Raw genomic sequence first — 16,817 nt, forward strand, 5'->3', positions numbered from 1 at the left:
AAACCCGGTCTCTACTAAAAATACAAAAAATTAGCCGAGCGCGGTGGCAGGCGCCTGTAGTCCCAGCTACTCAGGAGGCTGGGGCAAGAGAATGGCGTGAATCCGGGAGGCGGAGCTTCCAGTGAGCCGAGATCGTGCCACTGCACTCCAGCCTGGGCGACAGAGTGAGACTCTGTCTTAAAAAATAATAATAAAAAAAGATATTTAATTTTCTAATGCCCTGGCTTCTATCATCCCTCGCCTATAAAATAGATGTATGTACTAGGAAGCAGGTATTGCGTGAGTGTACTGTGAACAGCATACTAGAACCCATTGGTTTTAGGAAATTAATGAGAAAGGTAATGTGGTATAGTGGAAAGAGAATGCGTCTTGGAGTCAGGCAAACCCACCTGTGAATCCAGCTCCACCATACTCTCTGTATAACCTTAGCAAAATTGCTTTGTTTCTATGGGCCTCAGTTTCTTTATCTGGTTTAAAAAAGAAAGAAGAAAATGTTAGGTGCTAAGAAAATGTTACTCCACTGTCCCTACCCTTCTCAGAAGACATTTAGATAGATAGCTAGACAGACAGATGGAATGTTATTAACTGAATGCTTATTATGTGCCTGACATTGGGCTCCACATCTCATTTAGTCCTAACACACATACGAAGCACTGGAGCTTATACAGCCTTTGTATATGTCTTCAGGCTTGACTTGCCTGAAGTTACATAACTAGGAAGTAGTAGAGCCAAACTACTGTACAGCACAGTGCTCTTAGCTACTGTGATTTTAGCTTCACAAAATTTAAAATCTCTTAGAGATATCCTACCAGTTTAATGCTGTTAGAAAATGTAATGACAGCCAGGCACGGTGGTTCACACCTGTAATTCCAGCACTTTGGGAGGCCAAGGCGGATGGATCACAGGGTCAGGAGATCGAGACCATCCTGACTAACACGGTGAAACCCCGTCTCTACTAAAAATGCAAAAAAAAATTAGCCGGGCATGGTGGTGGGCGCCTGTAGTCCCAGCTACTTGGGAGGCTGAGGCAGGAGAATGGCGTGAACCCGGGAGGCGGAGTTGCAGTGAGCCGAGACTGCACCACTGCACTCCAGCCTGGGCGACAGAGCAAGACTACATCTCAAAAAAAAAAAAAAAAAAAAGAGAGAGAAAATGTAATGACAAACCACTAGTTTCTCATCATATTTATTTTTTTCTGTCCATATTTAATTTTGATGCATGTATTTGCTAGAGCTGCCGTAACAAAGTACCACAAACTGGGTGGCTTAAGCTGCAGAAAATTATTTTCTTATAATTCTGGAGGCAAGAAGTCCAAGCTAAAGGTGTTGACAGGTTTGCTTTTTTCCGTGGTCTCTCTTCTTGACTTGCAGATGACTGCTGCTATGGTCTGAGTATTTATGTCCCCACAAATGCATATGTTGAAATCCTAACCTTAAGGTAATGACATAAGGAAATGGGGACTTTGGGAGTGATTATGTCATGAAGTCAAAGCCCTCACGAGTGAGATTTGTTCCCTTATAAGATGGGCCCAAAGCGACCACTCACGCTTTCCACCATGTGAAGACAGGGCAAGAAGGCACCGCCTGTGAGGAAATGGGTCCTTAGCAGACACTGAATCTGCCAGCACCATGGTCTTGGACTTTCTGGCCTCCAAACTTTGAGAAATAATTGTGTGTTTTTTGTAAGATATCCAGTTTATGGTATTTTGTTATAGCAGCCTGAGCAGGCTAAGACAGCTGTCTTCTTGCTGTGCCTTCATATGGTTGTCCTTCTGTGCATGTTATCTGTGTCTTCATCTCCTCTTCTATGTAGACACCAGTCCTATTGGATTACAGCTCACCATAACAATTCCATTTTATCTTAATTACCTCTTTAAAGGCCCTGTCTCTAAATATAGTCATGTTCTGAAGTACTGCAGGTTAGGGCTTCAACTTGGGAATTTGGGGAGGACATATTCAGCCCATAACAATGCATATATAGCATAAAGCATATGAAAATAAGAGCACCTACCCTCCATTGTGTGTTTACCATGTGTGAGACACTGTTCGAAACACTCTATACATGTGTATTTAACCCATATGAGGATAGGTACTATCCTTATCCTCATTTGTTACTGGGAGGCTAGGTAGTCTGTCCAGGGTCACATTACTAGTAAGTGAAATAGGATTTGAAGCTCTACAGTCTAACTCCAGAATCTGAACTTTTATGCAGTATATATACTGCCCATCACAAAAACAAGAAATATCCAGTTTGGAGCAAAGAAACAGAAGACACAGTAATATCTATTTGAGGTAAAATTATGATTAACTTGAAAATTCTGTATATGTTTAATTAGCAGTTACTAGGTTGTCATATGTGAGAAATAAAGAAGCAGCTTCATTCTTCTTTGCCATTGAAAATCATGGCAAAAACCGCTATTACTTTTGCACCAATGTAATACTATAGCACAAGTAATAAGTCAGAGTCATTTAAAAAATAGGAAAGAAAATTCCAAGTAAATTTCTGGCATGCTACTCTATATAATAAAGGGTTAATTAATACAAAATATTCTTCTAAAATTTCAAAAGCAAATAGTACCCACAATAAAGTTTTAATATTTGAAGACCTAGTACACACATGCCTTACTTCTTGGCTTTTTGTCAAAGTTGATATCACTCCAGCTTCAGCCCGTTTTACTGATGCAGAAAAAAGAGCTGAGTTTCACATCTGGGAGATATGGGGCTCAGGGACAGCAATATGCCCCTTCCAGTCTCCGAACTAAGCATACAAAAGCAAAGAACTTGGACCTAACGGTGACTAGAAAAGAAATTGTAAACCATCCATATTCCCTCCCTGAACCCCCAAACAGTGAGGAAGGAATATAGGGCTCCCTCTACACAAAGAAACAGGATTTGAGCCAATTTAATTGAGTGTCAAAGGACAGCATTCCTTACCTTCTATCTGGTTTAAAACCAAAGTAAAGAAACAGATTTCGGGGTAGGAAACACTGCTATGGTGCTCCCTTTTTGCCAATCACTTTGTGTCAACAAAGCCTCTGCCTTCAAGATGCGTGAAACCTGGTGACTGGGGGGGATTTACAAAGATGAGATAATGAGAATTAACAGAGCTCATAGTCAAGTTCTAAGTTAAAAATAATCAAATATGAAAATGTTGAGTGGAGACATTGTTATGGCTGGTCAGGATTTTGGAGGCCACTATGACTGGAGTTATCAAGACAAATGATGTAGAAAAGGTGGGTTTTGAGATGGACCTTGAAAGATGGGATAGTTTGTGGTGGAAAGAAGAGGCATCTTAGACAGGATTCAACATCAGCTGGGCATGAAGGCAGGAACGAGGGAAGTATGTGGAAGCGATGAGGAGACCTCACCTCTGGAAAAGATAGGTTTGGGGGAGTAATGGGATATACTTTATAAGTAGATAGAGTGGGGTCAGATTATTAATATGGCTGCATGCTGAAGTCTGGCATTATTATTCTATTAGTTGAATTGCTCAGTGAAATTATCTCAATTCTCTAAACATGCTTGTAAGAATACATCTCAACAAAACTTAGCATTTTGGATTAAGTAGTGTGTTTGTTAAGTCTGCTCGGATCACAACATACTCTATGGACCACTGGCCCTTCCTGATTCTCTACTCAAAGTTGTGTCATGCCTAATTAGGCTAGGAGATCAAGCAGTCCTGTGCCTTCACTCACCCCTGGCCAGAGGCCTTGGAAGAAGCTTTAAGTGATTCTAAGTGGCTGACTAGAGTTGCCAGGAGAGTGCCACTGCCCTGTGAAGGCATATAGCCTAAGAAATGACTTAAACTTGGCTGGGTGCGGTGGCTCATGCCTGTAATCCCAGCACTTTGGGAGGCCAAAGCGGACAGATCACTTGAGGCTGAGAGTTCGAGACCAGCCTTACCAATGTGGTAAAACCCCATCTCTACTAAAAAATACAAAAATTAGCTGGGTGTGGTGGTGCACACCTGCAGCCCCAGCTACTCGGGAGGCTGAGGCATGAGAATTGCTTGAACTCAGGAGATGGAGATTGCAGTGAGCTGAGATCATGGCACTGCACTCCAGCCTGGGCAACAGAGCAAGAGTCCGTCTTAGAAAAAAAAAAAGAAAAAAGAAAGAAATGGCTTAAACTTTTTTGAACCAGTGATATGTGCGATCTCTGCATTTTATAAATCTTAAAAGGGAGGAACCCTATAGAATTCTCAGATCCCCATGCCATTTTGTGATAATAGAAAGCAGCTTTGGAGTCTCACAGACCTTAATCTGAAGTCTGTGTGACTTCGGGCAAATTACCAAATGTGTATGAGCCTGTTTTATTTTTTAATCTATAAAACAGCCCCGTAACTATGCAGTTATTGTTAACTTTCTTTTTTTCCTTTTGTGACTTCTCTCAGTTCCTGACATTTTTGAAGAACATCTTTGTCTAATCTAAATGCCCTCTACTGCCAAGGAGTTGAAAACTACTCTTTAGGATCCCTGTGGATCCTCAAGAAAACATGGGGATGTCAATAAAGTTGGCCTGCCCCAACCCTCCCTCTCTCCCTCCCCACTCATGTATTTATTTCCTCAGGGTAGGATTTTAAGTCAATCAGCCAATCCTTAGGATAGTACAGAGTTCAGTAGGGTTCAGAGTTCCAGGAAATGATCTCAGAGTGGGTAGATCAACTACCCTTACGTGTACTGAGTCTAAAACAAGAAATAATGACTTAAAGTCATTATATGGCCTAAAGCATGTAAACATTAAGGTTACACGTGACAAAGCACTTTTTGAGTTCACAAACAGTTGGGCAAGGCCATAAACTATCACATTACTAAATTGCTACCATTTCTAATGTTCAAGGTTCCAACTACAAGTTTGTCCTTAGAAGTTGCCTTAGAAATTACAATGTGCTGTCAGTAATTTGGGTGTATCCAATTGTGCTTGCAGCTAAGAAACACATAGGGTTTGCCGGTTCGTATTTTGCCTATATTTGAATCCTGAAAATAACCACTTCATAAGAACAGAATGAGCTTTGTGAAGATTATATCACAGTTGGTTAGAAATGGAAGGTACATTTTTCTTACCCCCTCTTGCCTTTCATCTCTAAACACATTTGCCCCTACTCTGAAGTACAGGCGACTATGAGAGCAGCTGCGGTAGGCAGCTGTAGCATCTTCTGCGTCATCTGCTCCTATGCTCCGCAGACTCTGTCCTCATCCTCCGCTCCCAGTTGCCCTTTTCTTCCTTTCAAAATGGCCCGCTGCCCTCTTCTGTTCAGTGCCCCACCTGGGGTCTGGCAGTGTCCCTGCAGTGATTTCAGGGGATTTTGCCTGGTGTCCTCTTACTTTTAGCATTCTGTATGGTAAAAAGATCATTAGTGAAAACATTGTATCTTATTTAAAAAAACTAGAAAGAAAAAAGCGTTTATCAGCTAATATACAGCGGCTTGCTGCTGCCTCCACAAGTGCTGCCTGTTGATTTTGGTGATGCGCTCTACCCTATCAGTACAATAGAACACGCAGAGGACCGATGATTATGAGTCTTTGAGGAGAAGCCCTCCACAGGATTGCGTTGAGAGAAATGACTTATTCATCCTATGCACATAGGGTAGTAAACCACTGTCCCAGAGGCAGTTCTCTAACTTTCCACAAAGTGCTTATGGACTGGCCAAGCCACTCCCAACATTTCTCTCAGTGCACAATAAACTGTTATAACCAGCAGCTATGGAATCCCTTTCTTTAAAAAAGCAGAGTTGAGCATAAGCTATTCTGTAAGGTAGAATATAGGAGGTAGTGCAGGATACATTCCTTTGTGCAATATGATAAAGGAATTTATGCTCCATGGCACTTAGGGAAGAGCCAGCTCATTTTAGACTGGTCCTTTTAATGTTGTTTGATTTTGTACACTTGGAAAATGGGCTTGCATTCTTTTTCTCTTTTTGAAAAAGCTATTATGTTGTTTTAAAACATACATATTTTAGGCTTTAGGTAATATTCAAATTCTAATTTAAAACAAAGTATTACTTAATATATTTGATTGATAACACATTACATGCACCATGCATGGAAAGCAAGTAAAAACAAATTGTATGTTTTATTGTACTATATGGGCAACAGGGTAGCCTGCCTTACAAAACAATATAAATCATCTTTTACCACTGCTCTCCAAAAATAATTTGGAGTTTACACAATCCAAATTGCACCTGCCAGAACTGCCAGCAATATCTTCAATTTTCACTGACTATACTTTCCTTTCACTCCCTCCATATATTTAGACAAATGGAACAGATATTTCAGCCACACAGTTTACACAATAAAAAACAAAGGTTGAAATAAAGGAAAGGAATGTATTAAATTAACTTTGGGCATGTGAGTGTATAGATGCTAGCATCCATAGCATATAAATACACAGGTGAAATATACCTAAAATAAGGTGGTTTGTGTGTATCAGACTGAATATGCAGGTGTGGTGTACACAGATGTGTACATGCCAAACTGCCGATTTTCTCACGTAAGTATAGCAGTTTCAATACCTAGCAGTGAATGTTAATGTATTTTGAGAAAAAGAATTTGTCTCCTTAAATATTACAATATACAATAAGCATGTATTTGTTATAAATATAAAAATAATGTGCTTGAAATGCTAATTAATTAGATTGGAGAGTACATACTTTGTGAGGAATAGATAAAAAACTAGAACAATTAGACCTCAGCCTGGGCAACTGTGAAAATATAAACTCACAGAAGCTCTGAGCTGGAAGGATTTGATCAGGGCCTCTACAATCTAAATCTTATTAAAGGCATGAATTGTCTTTGCAACATCCCAGTAAAGTGGTCATTCTGCACTTGTTATACTTTTGGTGTAGGGATACTCAGTGCTTACCAACACAGTCACCTTCAAGTTCTTGGGTTTTTTTTTTTTAATTGAAGCAGGGTCTCCATCTGTTACCCAGGCTGGAGTGCAGTGGTGCGATGATGGCTCACTGCAGCCTCGAACTCCTGGACTCAAGTGATCCTCCCACTTCAGCCTCCCTAGTAGCCAGGACTAGAGGCACAAGCCACAACACTGGTTAATTTTTGTATTTTTTGTAGAGACAGGGCTTCACCATGTTGCCCAGGCTGGTCTCAAACTCCTGGGCTCAAGTGATCCCCCAACTTCAGCCTTCCGAGTATATATACTCAGAAGTATATATAGGTATATATGGGATTATAGGTGTGAGCCACCACACCTGGCCCTCAAGTTCTTATTTAGGGAAAATATATTTACCTGTAATGGTGTAATCTATATATCCATTTGGTTCTCATTCTTCCCCTCCACCCTATACAGAATAAACATCCCTCCTACAATCCTTCAGATATGTGAAGACAATCATCATGTCATAACTGTTCTATAACTGAGCCATCACTAACAAAGACTTGTCTCCTAAGCCTATCAGAGCCAGGATGTTTATTCATCCTTGCCACTCAGCAACTGAAAGATCCTCATCTCTAGAGTAGATTGGTGGTGGTACTTCTCAGATGAAAAGCCTGTGATGTGGTTGTGTTGTGTTGATGAGTTACTGCTGAAGACACTAGAGCCAGAGAGGAAATCCTAATCCTAGAGCCCAGGCAAGAGCCGCAGATTTGAATTAAGTTGGTGGCAGCAAAGGCAGGGACCATGATGTTTTACCTGCACCAAAAAACAAAACCAAGAACTTTCAATTTGTGTCATTGACATTCAACTGAGCCTGTAATTTTCTAGTTATGGCCTTGAGCTCCATTTTACTGGCAGCTCTGCCACTGGCCAGATGCATACCCTTGGGCAATCCTCCTCACTGCTCCCGGGTTCCTCTCTGTTATGCAAAGGCACATGCTGCTTTTCTGCCTAGTAAACAACACCCCCCCTCCCCCCCCCCGCCCACAGCTAAGATGTCATTTCTCCAGGAACCCTTTCCTAACTCCTACCCCTCACTCCAAGACTGGCCTCTGTCTTCCGATGCACCCAATGCTCACCTCTATTCACTTACTTCATTGTATTTTAATCACCTATTTACTTGTCTGTCTCTACTGTACTGGAAGTTCTTTAACACTGAGGACTCAGTCCCTAGCACTTAACTCAGTGCTTCGCATATACCAGAACTCAGAAAAAAATTTGTTGAAAAAAGGAAGAAAGGAAAGTGAAAAGGAAGAGAGATGATAAAATTAGGAAGTTGGACTAAATTATCTAAGTACCTCTTACAGCTAAACTCTATGGTGCTTTGTTCTTAGGTGCTATATTTAATGACAACCTGAGATTTTTGGAAATTTAGATTTCTCTAGTAAGAGAATGGGTTTCAAGTGATTGTACCAAAATAGGAAAACTATAAATATATATTCATACATATAGTAAAATGTTAAGACTGAGATTTAGAATTCATTTAATGAGCCCAAATTGTATTTTATGTATGAGTAAACTGAGGCACAGTAAGACTAAGTTAACTGCCCAAACTCTTCCACCTGGTTAGTGGGAAAATAACATTTCCAACCCTGATCTTTCTGGTTCCTGAACCAGGATAGCTGGACTGTACTTCCCCATTTTTGAAAAAGCTGCTAAAAACTTGGTTACAAACTTTAAGTGACACGTTTCTCCATTTATGTGGTGGTTATAGCAACGTACAACTCTCTATTTATAAATTAAACCTTGAGAAACACCCATCTCCACTCCTAGACAAACCAATGAACATTAGTCTTATTTTTCTCCCAGAAATGTCAGAGGGTGTTACAGTGCTACACGAGATGACTCCTGCAAGTTGCTTGCTAGATAGAGTTGCAGTTCATGTGAATTGCTTTCAGCCAGGTTGGGTATCCAAGCTCAATGTTCTGGTGTTAAGCCATAGGGAAGTGTTGCCATGAGACCAGCTTCTTGGCAAGTAGCCCTGAGGTGCAGCTGTAAGGTGACCCAGTGCAGTCCTGAGGCCAGAGCCCTGTGCTCAGTGCCAGAAAACTTGAGCCAAACTTTGGAACTAATTCCCAGGGCACTGAAATTGGTCTCAATTAAAATTTTAGATGAAAAGGGTTTTTGTTTGTCCTGAAGAACCACTTCAATTTATAAACTCATAGAGAAAGTAGATATTTTGCCGGTGTACTTGGAATACCTTTCAGAAGCCAAACCCTTAAAAAAAAAAAAGACATTAGATTATTTAAGAAGTTATAAATTTTTTTCTTTTTCTTCTGTATTTTAATAGGTACGAACCATAATATATATATATATAGTTTTTTTTTTTTTTTTTTTTTTTTTTTTGAGACGGAGTCTCCCTCCGTTGCCCAGGCTGGAGTGCGGTGGCGTGATTTCGGCTCACTGCAACTTCCGCCCACCAGGTTCAAGCGATTATCTTGCCTCAGCCTCCCGAGTAGCTGGGACTACAGGCTCCTGCCACCACGCCCGGCTAATTTTTTGTATTTTTAGTAGAGACTGGGTTTCACCGTGTCAGCCAGGATGGTCTCGATCTCCTGACCTCATGATCCCCCCACCTCATCCTCCCAAAGTGCTGGGATTACAGGCGTGAGCCACCATGCCTGGCCGGAAATATTTCTTGAAAGCAGCACTTTTCATAAGATTCACTGGCTGAAGAATCTTTATTTTTCTGTCTTTGAGCATGCTGTGTAAGATGTAAATCTTCTTCAAATGTAAAGTGGTATTGGAGTGGAAATGGTGGAAGTAGTGGTCAAGGTGATGGTGATAACTGCACTAGACTTTGAACCCATACAGATTTGAATTTGGAACCCAGCTTCACTACCTACTAGCAGCTGACGACTTAGATAGTATACTTAAGCATGGAGACTATTGTGCATGGAACTGGTTCTCAAACTAGTTGCAGTGGAATCACCTGGATGCTTCTACAGAGTATCCCTCCCTGGATTCCACTTTAGACTAATTAATTCAGAATCTCTGCAAGTGGGACCCAAGCATGAATATTTTGTGAACATTCTCATAAAGATTCTAATGTTGAGGACCAGTGACATAGTGATTAAAACTTTGGCTCTGGAGTCTAACTGGGCTCAGACTCCAGGTTGAACCTGTCTGAGCTTCAATATTTTCATCTGTAAAATTGGATAATAAGAGTTTAGGGGCTGGGCACGGTGGCACACGCCTGTAATCCCAGATCTTTGGGAAGCTGAGGCGGGGGGATCACGAGGTCAGGAGATCGAGACCATCCTGGCTAACATGGTGAAACCCCATCTCTACTAAAAAAAAAAAAACCAAAAATTTAGCTGGGCGTGGTAGCGGGCACCTGTAGTCCCAGCTGCTCGGGAGGCTGAGGCAGAGGATTGCCTGAACCCGGGAGGCAGAGGTTGCAGTGAGCTGAGATCATGCCACTGCCCTCCAGCCTGGGCAACAGAGCGAGACTCCATCTCAAAAAATAAAAAATAAAAAAGAGTTTAGTGTAGGGCTGTTAGAAGATTAAGTCATGGAAAGTACAATACAGTACCTATGGCATAGTAAGTGTTCAATTATAGCACCTATTGTTATCATCCGTAATTCCTTCAATTCATATTGCATATGAATACTTGTTCTCACTTCAGCTTTGACTTAAAATTCATCTCCCCAAATCAGTTGTGAGCCCTACCAAGTCCATTATGATAATCTTTTGTGCCTTTGACATTTTTTCTGTATCTGCTACTAACAACCTCGTTAAAGTGATTGCTATTTATTTCCATTGCTATCCTTTGCCAACCTTCAGTCTTTTTTTCAGAGAGAGGGTCTCACTCTAGCCCAGGCTGGAGTGCAGTGGTGCGACCTCAGCTCACTGCAGCCTCGACCTCCCAGGCTCAAGCCTCTCAAGTAGCTGGGATCACAGGTGCATGCCACCATGCCCGGCCAATTTTTGTATTTCTTGTAGAGACAGGGTTTTGCCATGTTGCCCAGGCTGACCTTGAACTCCTGAGCTCAAGTGATTCACCTGCCTCAGCCTCCCAAAGTGCTGGGATTACAGGTGTGAGTCACTGTACCTGGCCCACCTGCAGTCTTTACAGGCCCCTGTGTTGCCTTCACAACTTTTACCAGATGGCTTTTTTCTTAATCCACATACTCTGGACAAAGATAAGAGACATAGTGTGGTATTATGAAGAACTAAGGAACCAAGAAAACCAGGGTCCTGGTCCCAGTTTTGTGACCATGGACAAGTCTTGTATCCCTCTTAGGCTTTCATCTCCCTATTTATAACTTTAGGAAGTTGGACCGGCTGATTTCTTCCTGCCCTAACATTGTCTGGTGGTTGGATGCAGGGGCTATTGCACATATTGCCTAGTGTGTCAGAGGAACACCCAGAAAGGAGGCCAGAGTGCCAGAGCTGAGGGAAACAGGGGAAGTGGTCAGAGATCAGGACAGAGAAAACAAGGCTGCTTGTGTGAGGCCCTAAAGGACCTGATAAGGACTAAGGTGTTTACTCAGAGGAAGAAGAGAAACCACCAGAGAGTTTGGGGGAGAGAAACTGTAAGATATTATATAACCCATTTTTATTGAGTGCTTACTCTGTTAGATTCTATTTTCAGCGCTTTATTTGTAATCCTCACAATAATCGTATGAGATAGGAACCACAATATTCCCCATTTTACACTGAGGAAACAGGAATCCAAAGAGGTTAAGTAACTTGCCTAAGATCACATGGCTCAGAAGGACTTAGGTAGAATTTAGACCCAGGCAGACTTACTCATCTCATTCATTGTCCTGACCCCCCAACTGCTTAAGAGATTGAGACTGAGGTGTTTTTTTTCTTTCTGTATTTCCAGAGGACACTTAGAATAAAATTAATTCATACTCATTCATAAATACAAAACTTCTTTACTTAAACTGATAACAATTTCAAGTATTTGGCTTTATGATTTCAAGTTTTTTAAAAAGCCCTCACATTAGCACATTAACAAGCCTGTTGATGTGTCTCTCTTTCATTATGCAGACAGCTATTTCTTTTTTGCTCCTAATGCAGAGGTTGATTGGGAAATTTTTTATTTTATTGCTTACGACTTTGCCCTTGTGCTATCTAAATCACTACTATATGATTTGGCATTTATAATTTATCATTTCCCTCTGCTATTAGACGAAATGCCCTTTAAAGCATTCCACAGCAAGGTGAACACAAGTCAAGCTTGCAAAGTTTTAGAAAAAATAATTGCAAAAAGTCATTAAAGAATAATGAAAGTTGATTGATATAGCATACAATATCAGGGCTGCCCAGTTTAACAGATACAATTATTTCCAGTCATTTTCAGAGGGCATCTAAATTTCAGCACCTAGTTTTCACCATCTTTCTAGGAATACCAGCAAAAATCTCTTGTTTATATAAAGGCTGTAAAAGCAAAATTTTTAACTCATTTCTTTGGATTTTCCTAATGCTAAGGTTGAAACAATAGACATTTTAAATGATTGGAAACCAGATTTCTCTTACTATCCTGTGATTTTAACATTCTATTGCTGTAGCCAAGAGTCTTTGACTTCTGGACCAGCTGCTTTTTGCATGCCGATTTTTCAGAGGGAGTCCCTCAAGAGTTCTTAACTTTTGACTAGTGTCTACCTTGACTTCAGCCCCTGCAGGAAGTGAAGGTAGCAATGTTTGGGAATAAAAACACTAAGGGAAAAACATCTCCTAGTAGAATCATCAACTCAGTCTAATTTTAGATTTCAGGCAGACCACTTAGCTGTACTTTCAGCTAGTTGCAAACATATGCTTTTTAGGTGCTCATCATTGAAGGACTAAAACCAGGACTTAAACTAAAATAATAAAATTTTCTATCATAATATTTTTCAGTAAAATAGGTGATATGTGAGAACATGTGTGTGCACGTGCAAACCATGTGCTTGTGCACCCACATTCAAGTATTCACAGCATTCAAAATAAGATGATCCAGTCAGGCGCTGTGGCTCACGCCTGTAATCCCAGCACTTTGGGAGGCCGAGGTGGGCAGATCACCTGGGGTCAGGAGTTTGAGACCAGCCTGACCAACATGGAGAAACCCATCTCTACTAAAAATACAAAATTAGCCAGGTGTGGTGACATATGCCTGTAATCCCAGCTACTCGGGAGGCTGAGGCAGGAGAATCGCTTGAACCTGGGAGGCGGAGGTTGCGGTGAGCCGAGATCATGCCATTGCACTCCAGACTGGGCAACAACAGCAAAACTCCATCTCAAAAAAAAAAAAAATTAGCCAGGCATGATGGCGCGTGCCTGTAGTCCCAGCTACTCGGGAGGCTGAGGCAGGAGAATCGCTTGAACCCGGGAGGCAGAGGTTGCAGTGAGCTGAGATCACGCCACTGCGCTCCCGTCCGGCAACAGAGTGAGACTGTCTCAAAAAAATATTAGATGATCCAAAAGTGTTCCTATTTTTCATAAACTCTTTTAATTTTTTTCTTTCCACCCATCACAACCACAAGGACTAATAGCCCCAGGCTCAAAACCTCAGAAGCCATGTTATTGAGGTATGTGACAGGACTACGAGACATTTTTGATAATAAGTTTTAGGTGGCAGCTATTTTGATATTGAAAAAACTGGATCAAATCTAACAAAGGTCTTTTGAGAGGAAATGTTTAAAAGGGCACATCTTGTGGCCAGGAAAACCACAGTAAAATATTCCAATTAGGAATAAATTAGAGAACGCTATACTTTCCTAGAAGGATCAGAAAGTCAAATACTTGGCCTTGAGCTGCCTCTCACCTCTACCCCTGCTGACCCTAAGAACAAGTCACTCCTGTCTGTGTGAGCCCAACAGTTGCTGCCAGGCCTTGCCATTCCTCTGCAGAAAAGATCCAGGGATTTTTCACCAGAGACTGCTGGCCAGCATCAGAGTCAGAAGGAGGTAGCCGAAGTGCCACTGAACTTTCTATAGTGCTCTAAAGCCAGCTTTCTGTCTGCAAAGGAAAATTCTCTAAACTCACTAAAGCCAAATCTAACATACTTTAAAGTCTCCAAAGGAAGTCTCATAAACTTTCTTGTTGCTGTTAGAAGATTAAGCTCTGATTTCCCAGATTATATTTTCTATTTTCCTTAAATTTAGCAACATTTAATCCATGACACTCATTGGTATACAAGAAAAATCATTCTGCTGTCTTCATCATCAATTTAAGGTGTTCAGCTGTGATGCCTTGGTACTTTATGTTGTGATTAATTGCCTTATACTAACATCTGATGAATATTTTTAAAAACATTCCTTAGGTTACCTATGTGGCTGAACTGTGTGGTTAGTTGGGAAACTGGGGCTATGAAGTGAGTTCCCCAAAGAGCTGAATTCAATCGAGATGTCATGCACAACTGACCTCTTTAATAGAGTATTTTACTCTTTTGACAGCATCTAAAACCGACCTTTCCCTCAGGGTCTAGCTCAGTTTCTCCTCCTGCCCAAAACCTTTCCTGACAATTTAAGTTCTTACTGACATCTTTCCTCTGGGACACCTAAAGCCCTGTGATCTGTGAAGCTGTTATGGCATTTGGGTATGTCATCATATGCCATCATTTATTCCCTAACTTTTCAAGTCAAAGGCCATATGCGCTGCCTTTTCAGCTCCCCCTGCAGTGCCTAGCATAGTGCCCAGTACATATGGAAGCTCCATGGTAGAAGTGGATTGAATTGGCTTATAGCCTTTTTCATCATTACCTGAATTATCATATCTAGGACTAGGGTCTGCATTATTTCTTTTTATTTTTCCAGTCATTATCTGTTCCTTAGTGACCCAGGAGCATCCACAGTGAGTTGCAAGTTGGACCACTCCTGGAATAGGTTGGTCAACTTGTGTTTTTTGGCTTGAACATCACTGTTCTGTACCACACACAGAAAACAGGAGACAAATTATGTACTTTACGATTGCAGTATTGCAGTCATTAGAGAATCACCAATTAGTATAAAGGCAAAAAAAAATGTATACATATATATATATATAAAAGCTAATGGAACAGAGAAAGAAAAGAAATATAGAAGAGGGTGACAGGAAAAGAGATGAGAAAGAATAAAAAAGCCAGCAATCCAGTTCTCTGATGTAATGTTTCCTTTTTCTAATGACAAAACATAAAGACTCCTTGCAAGTGCATTTAATGGATGATGACTTGCACATCTTCAAAATGTTTGCTCTTTAGGAAATGTATGCAGAAATAACTGCCTTTCCAGTTTGAATTAGGAACAAATTGGAAAGGCAGTTACTTTGGGGGCACGGGAGTAAGGGTGGTTTGGGTGAAGGGAAGTAAACGCAGTCTGGTAACACTGGTGCATTGTATGCGGCAGTAAGAAATGACAACTCCAAATGAGGCCGGCTTCTCTCTTAATGTGATCAGCTTGCTATGCCCTCAACGATTCCATGAGATTTTGCATTTTATAGGTTGAGCTTCCCACTGGCAGCAAGTGAAGCAGTTCATTATGCACATCTGTCACGTGATCCACTTCATCAACCAAATGGAACTGGGAGAATAAGTCACCCTAACAAGATCCTTCAGTACACTCTTAAAAACTACTTACAGATGTACTCTTCCTCTGTAGGGATACAATGGGTTTCCTTGTACTGTGCCACATGATACAGGAAATGCATTATCCCCATCCAAATTCTGGCATACCAGGAGGAAGCACGTGAAAAGAAAGCAGCTCACAAAAGCACACAATGCTTTTGCAAAAGTCCTTAGAGGGACTCATACACCAATTTATGATAACGACAGATAAAATCCCAGGCCTCTGAAGCTCAGTTCATTTCAAATGCTAATGTCCACACAGGGAAAGGAAACCACATCAGCATTCGGCATTGACACAAACATTGTTAATGCTTTTTATTTATGGATTGTCACTGAGTCCCCTCAGCAGTATGCCAGATTTCCATTTGTGTTGTAACTTTAGCTACTTTATGTGCTTTCATGACTAGCTGTGTTATGTACCCATAGGCGATTCATGCTTTCAAACTGTGTCTGGTGAGATAAGCGGCCACACTTCTGATCTTGAATCAGGAACCATTTTGTTCACATTCAGATCAGGTGGAATAAACGTTTTTTAGCTAAGCCCAAAATTAGATTCACCTGCCACTGTTAAATCTTCCTATTTCATTCACTTAACCAACAAATATTATTGGATGCCTACCACGTGCCAGGCACTGTTCCAGGCACTGGAGACATACCGTGAACATACAGAATCCTACCATCATAGAGATTACAATCTAGAGGTGGATAAGGGGAGATGGTCAACAAATAGGCAATATGTCAGAAAGTGTGTCAGTCAGGATAGGCTAGGTTATTTTGTGGCAATAACCCAATATCTCAGTGGCTTAAAACAACCAAGTTTATTTCTTACTTACACTGCATGTTCATTGCAGGTCAGCTGGGGGCTCTGCTCTGAGAGCACCTTCCCTCTGGGACCCAACCTGCCTAGAGAACCCCCATCTAGAGTGTATGGCTTGTCTTTGTGGGAGATGGAGAAGATAGAGTGATAAATTATATGCCACTTCTTAAAGCTTATGCCTGAAAGTGACACATGGCACTTCTATAACATTTCACTGGCCAAAACAAGTCACACAACTACACCCAACTCCAAAAGGTGAGGTAGTGCAATCATATCATATGCTCAAGAAAATCAGACACATTTGGTGGACAGAACTGTCCCCGATGATGATGATTTCTATGAAGAAAAAATCAAGGTAAAGGAGACAGTGTCTGCGTAGGAGGTTTCTATTTGACGTAGATGGTCTGGAAAGTTCTCTCTAATAAGGTGATATTTGAAGAGAGATTCCAAGGGAGAGAGAGAGAGCCATTTGGATGGAGGTGGGGGCAACTTCCTGTAAAGGAAACTGCAAGAGCAAAGTGTACCTGGCATATTTGAGGAACAGCAAGGAAGTCAAAGTGCCTAGAGTGCGGTGAGCAG

At 41.2% G+C, this 16,817-nt stretch overlaps 1 long non-coding RNA gene and 1 other non-coding gene across 4 annotated transcripts in view, besides 1 other annotated feature; one reads left to right on the forward strand and one right to left on the reverse strand.

Moving 5' to 3' along the window:
- Positions 1-16,817, forward strand: part of TRAF3IP2-AS1 (TRAF3IP2 antisense RNA 1) — a 118,824-nt gene that overhangs the window by 42,298 nt on the left and 59,709 nt on the right. The gene's annotated exons all lie outside the window — the stretch shown is intronic.
- On the reverse strand, positions 156-9,156 carry LOC107986522 (uncharacterized). The gene is made up of 2 exons (XR_001743809.2): positions 2,934-9,156; positions 156-467 (listed from the first exon to the last, which is right to left on the reverse strand). It is a non-coding gene; the product is annotated as an uncharacterized LOC107986522 (long non-coding RNA).
- Positions 14,558-14,732: a silencer, noted in NCBI's record as "fragment chr6:111861530-111861704 (GRCh37/hg19 assembly coordinates)". NCBI's record gives its function as "represses an EF-1alpha promoter that drives an FKBP-Casp9 reporter gene in an ReSE screen in HepG2 liver carcinoma cells {active_cell/tissue: HepG2}" and the evidence as "EXISTENCE:reporter gene assay evidence [ECO:0000049][PMID:32094911]".

This window comes from Homo sapiens, chromosome 6, assembly GCF_000001405.40.
Source record: "Homo sapiens chromosome 6, GRCh38.p14 Primary Assembly".
Lineage (NCBI taxonomy): Eukaryota > Metazoa > Chordata > Mammalia > Primates > Hominidae > Homo > Homo sapiens.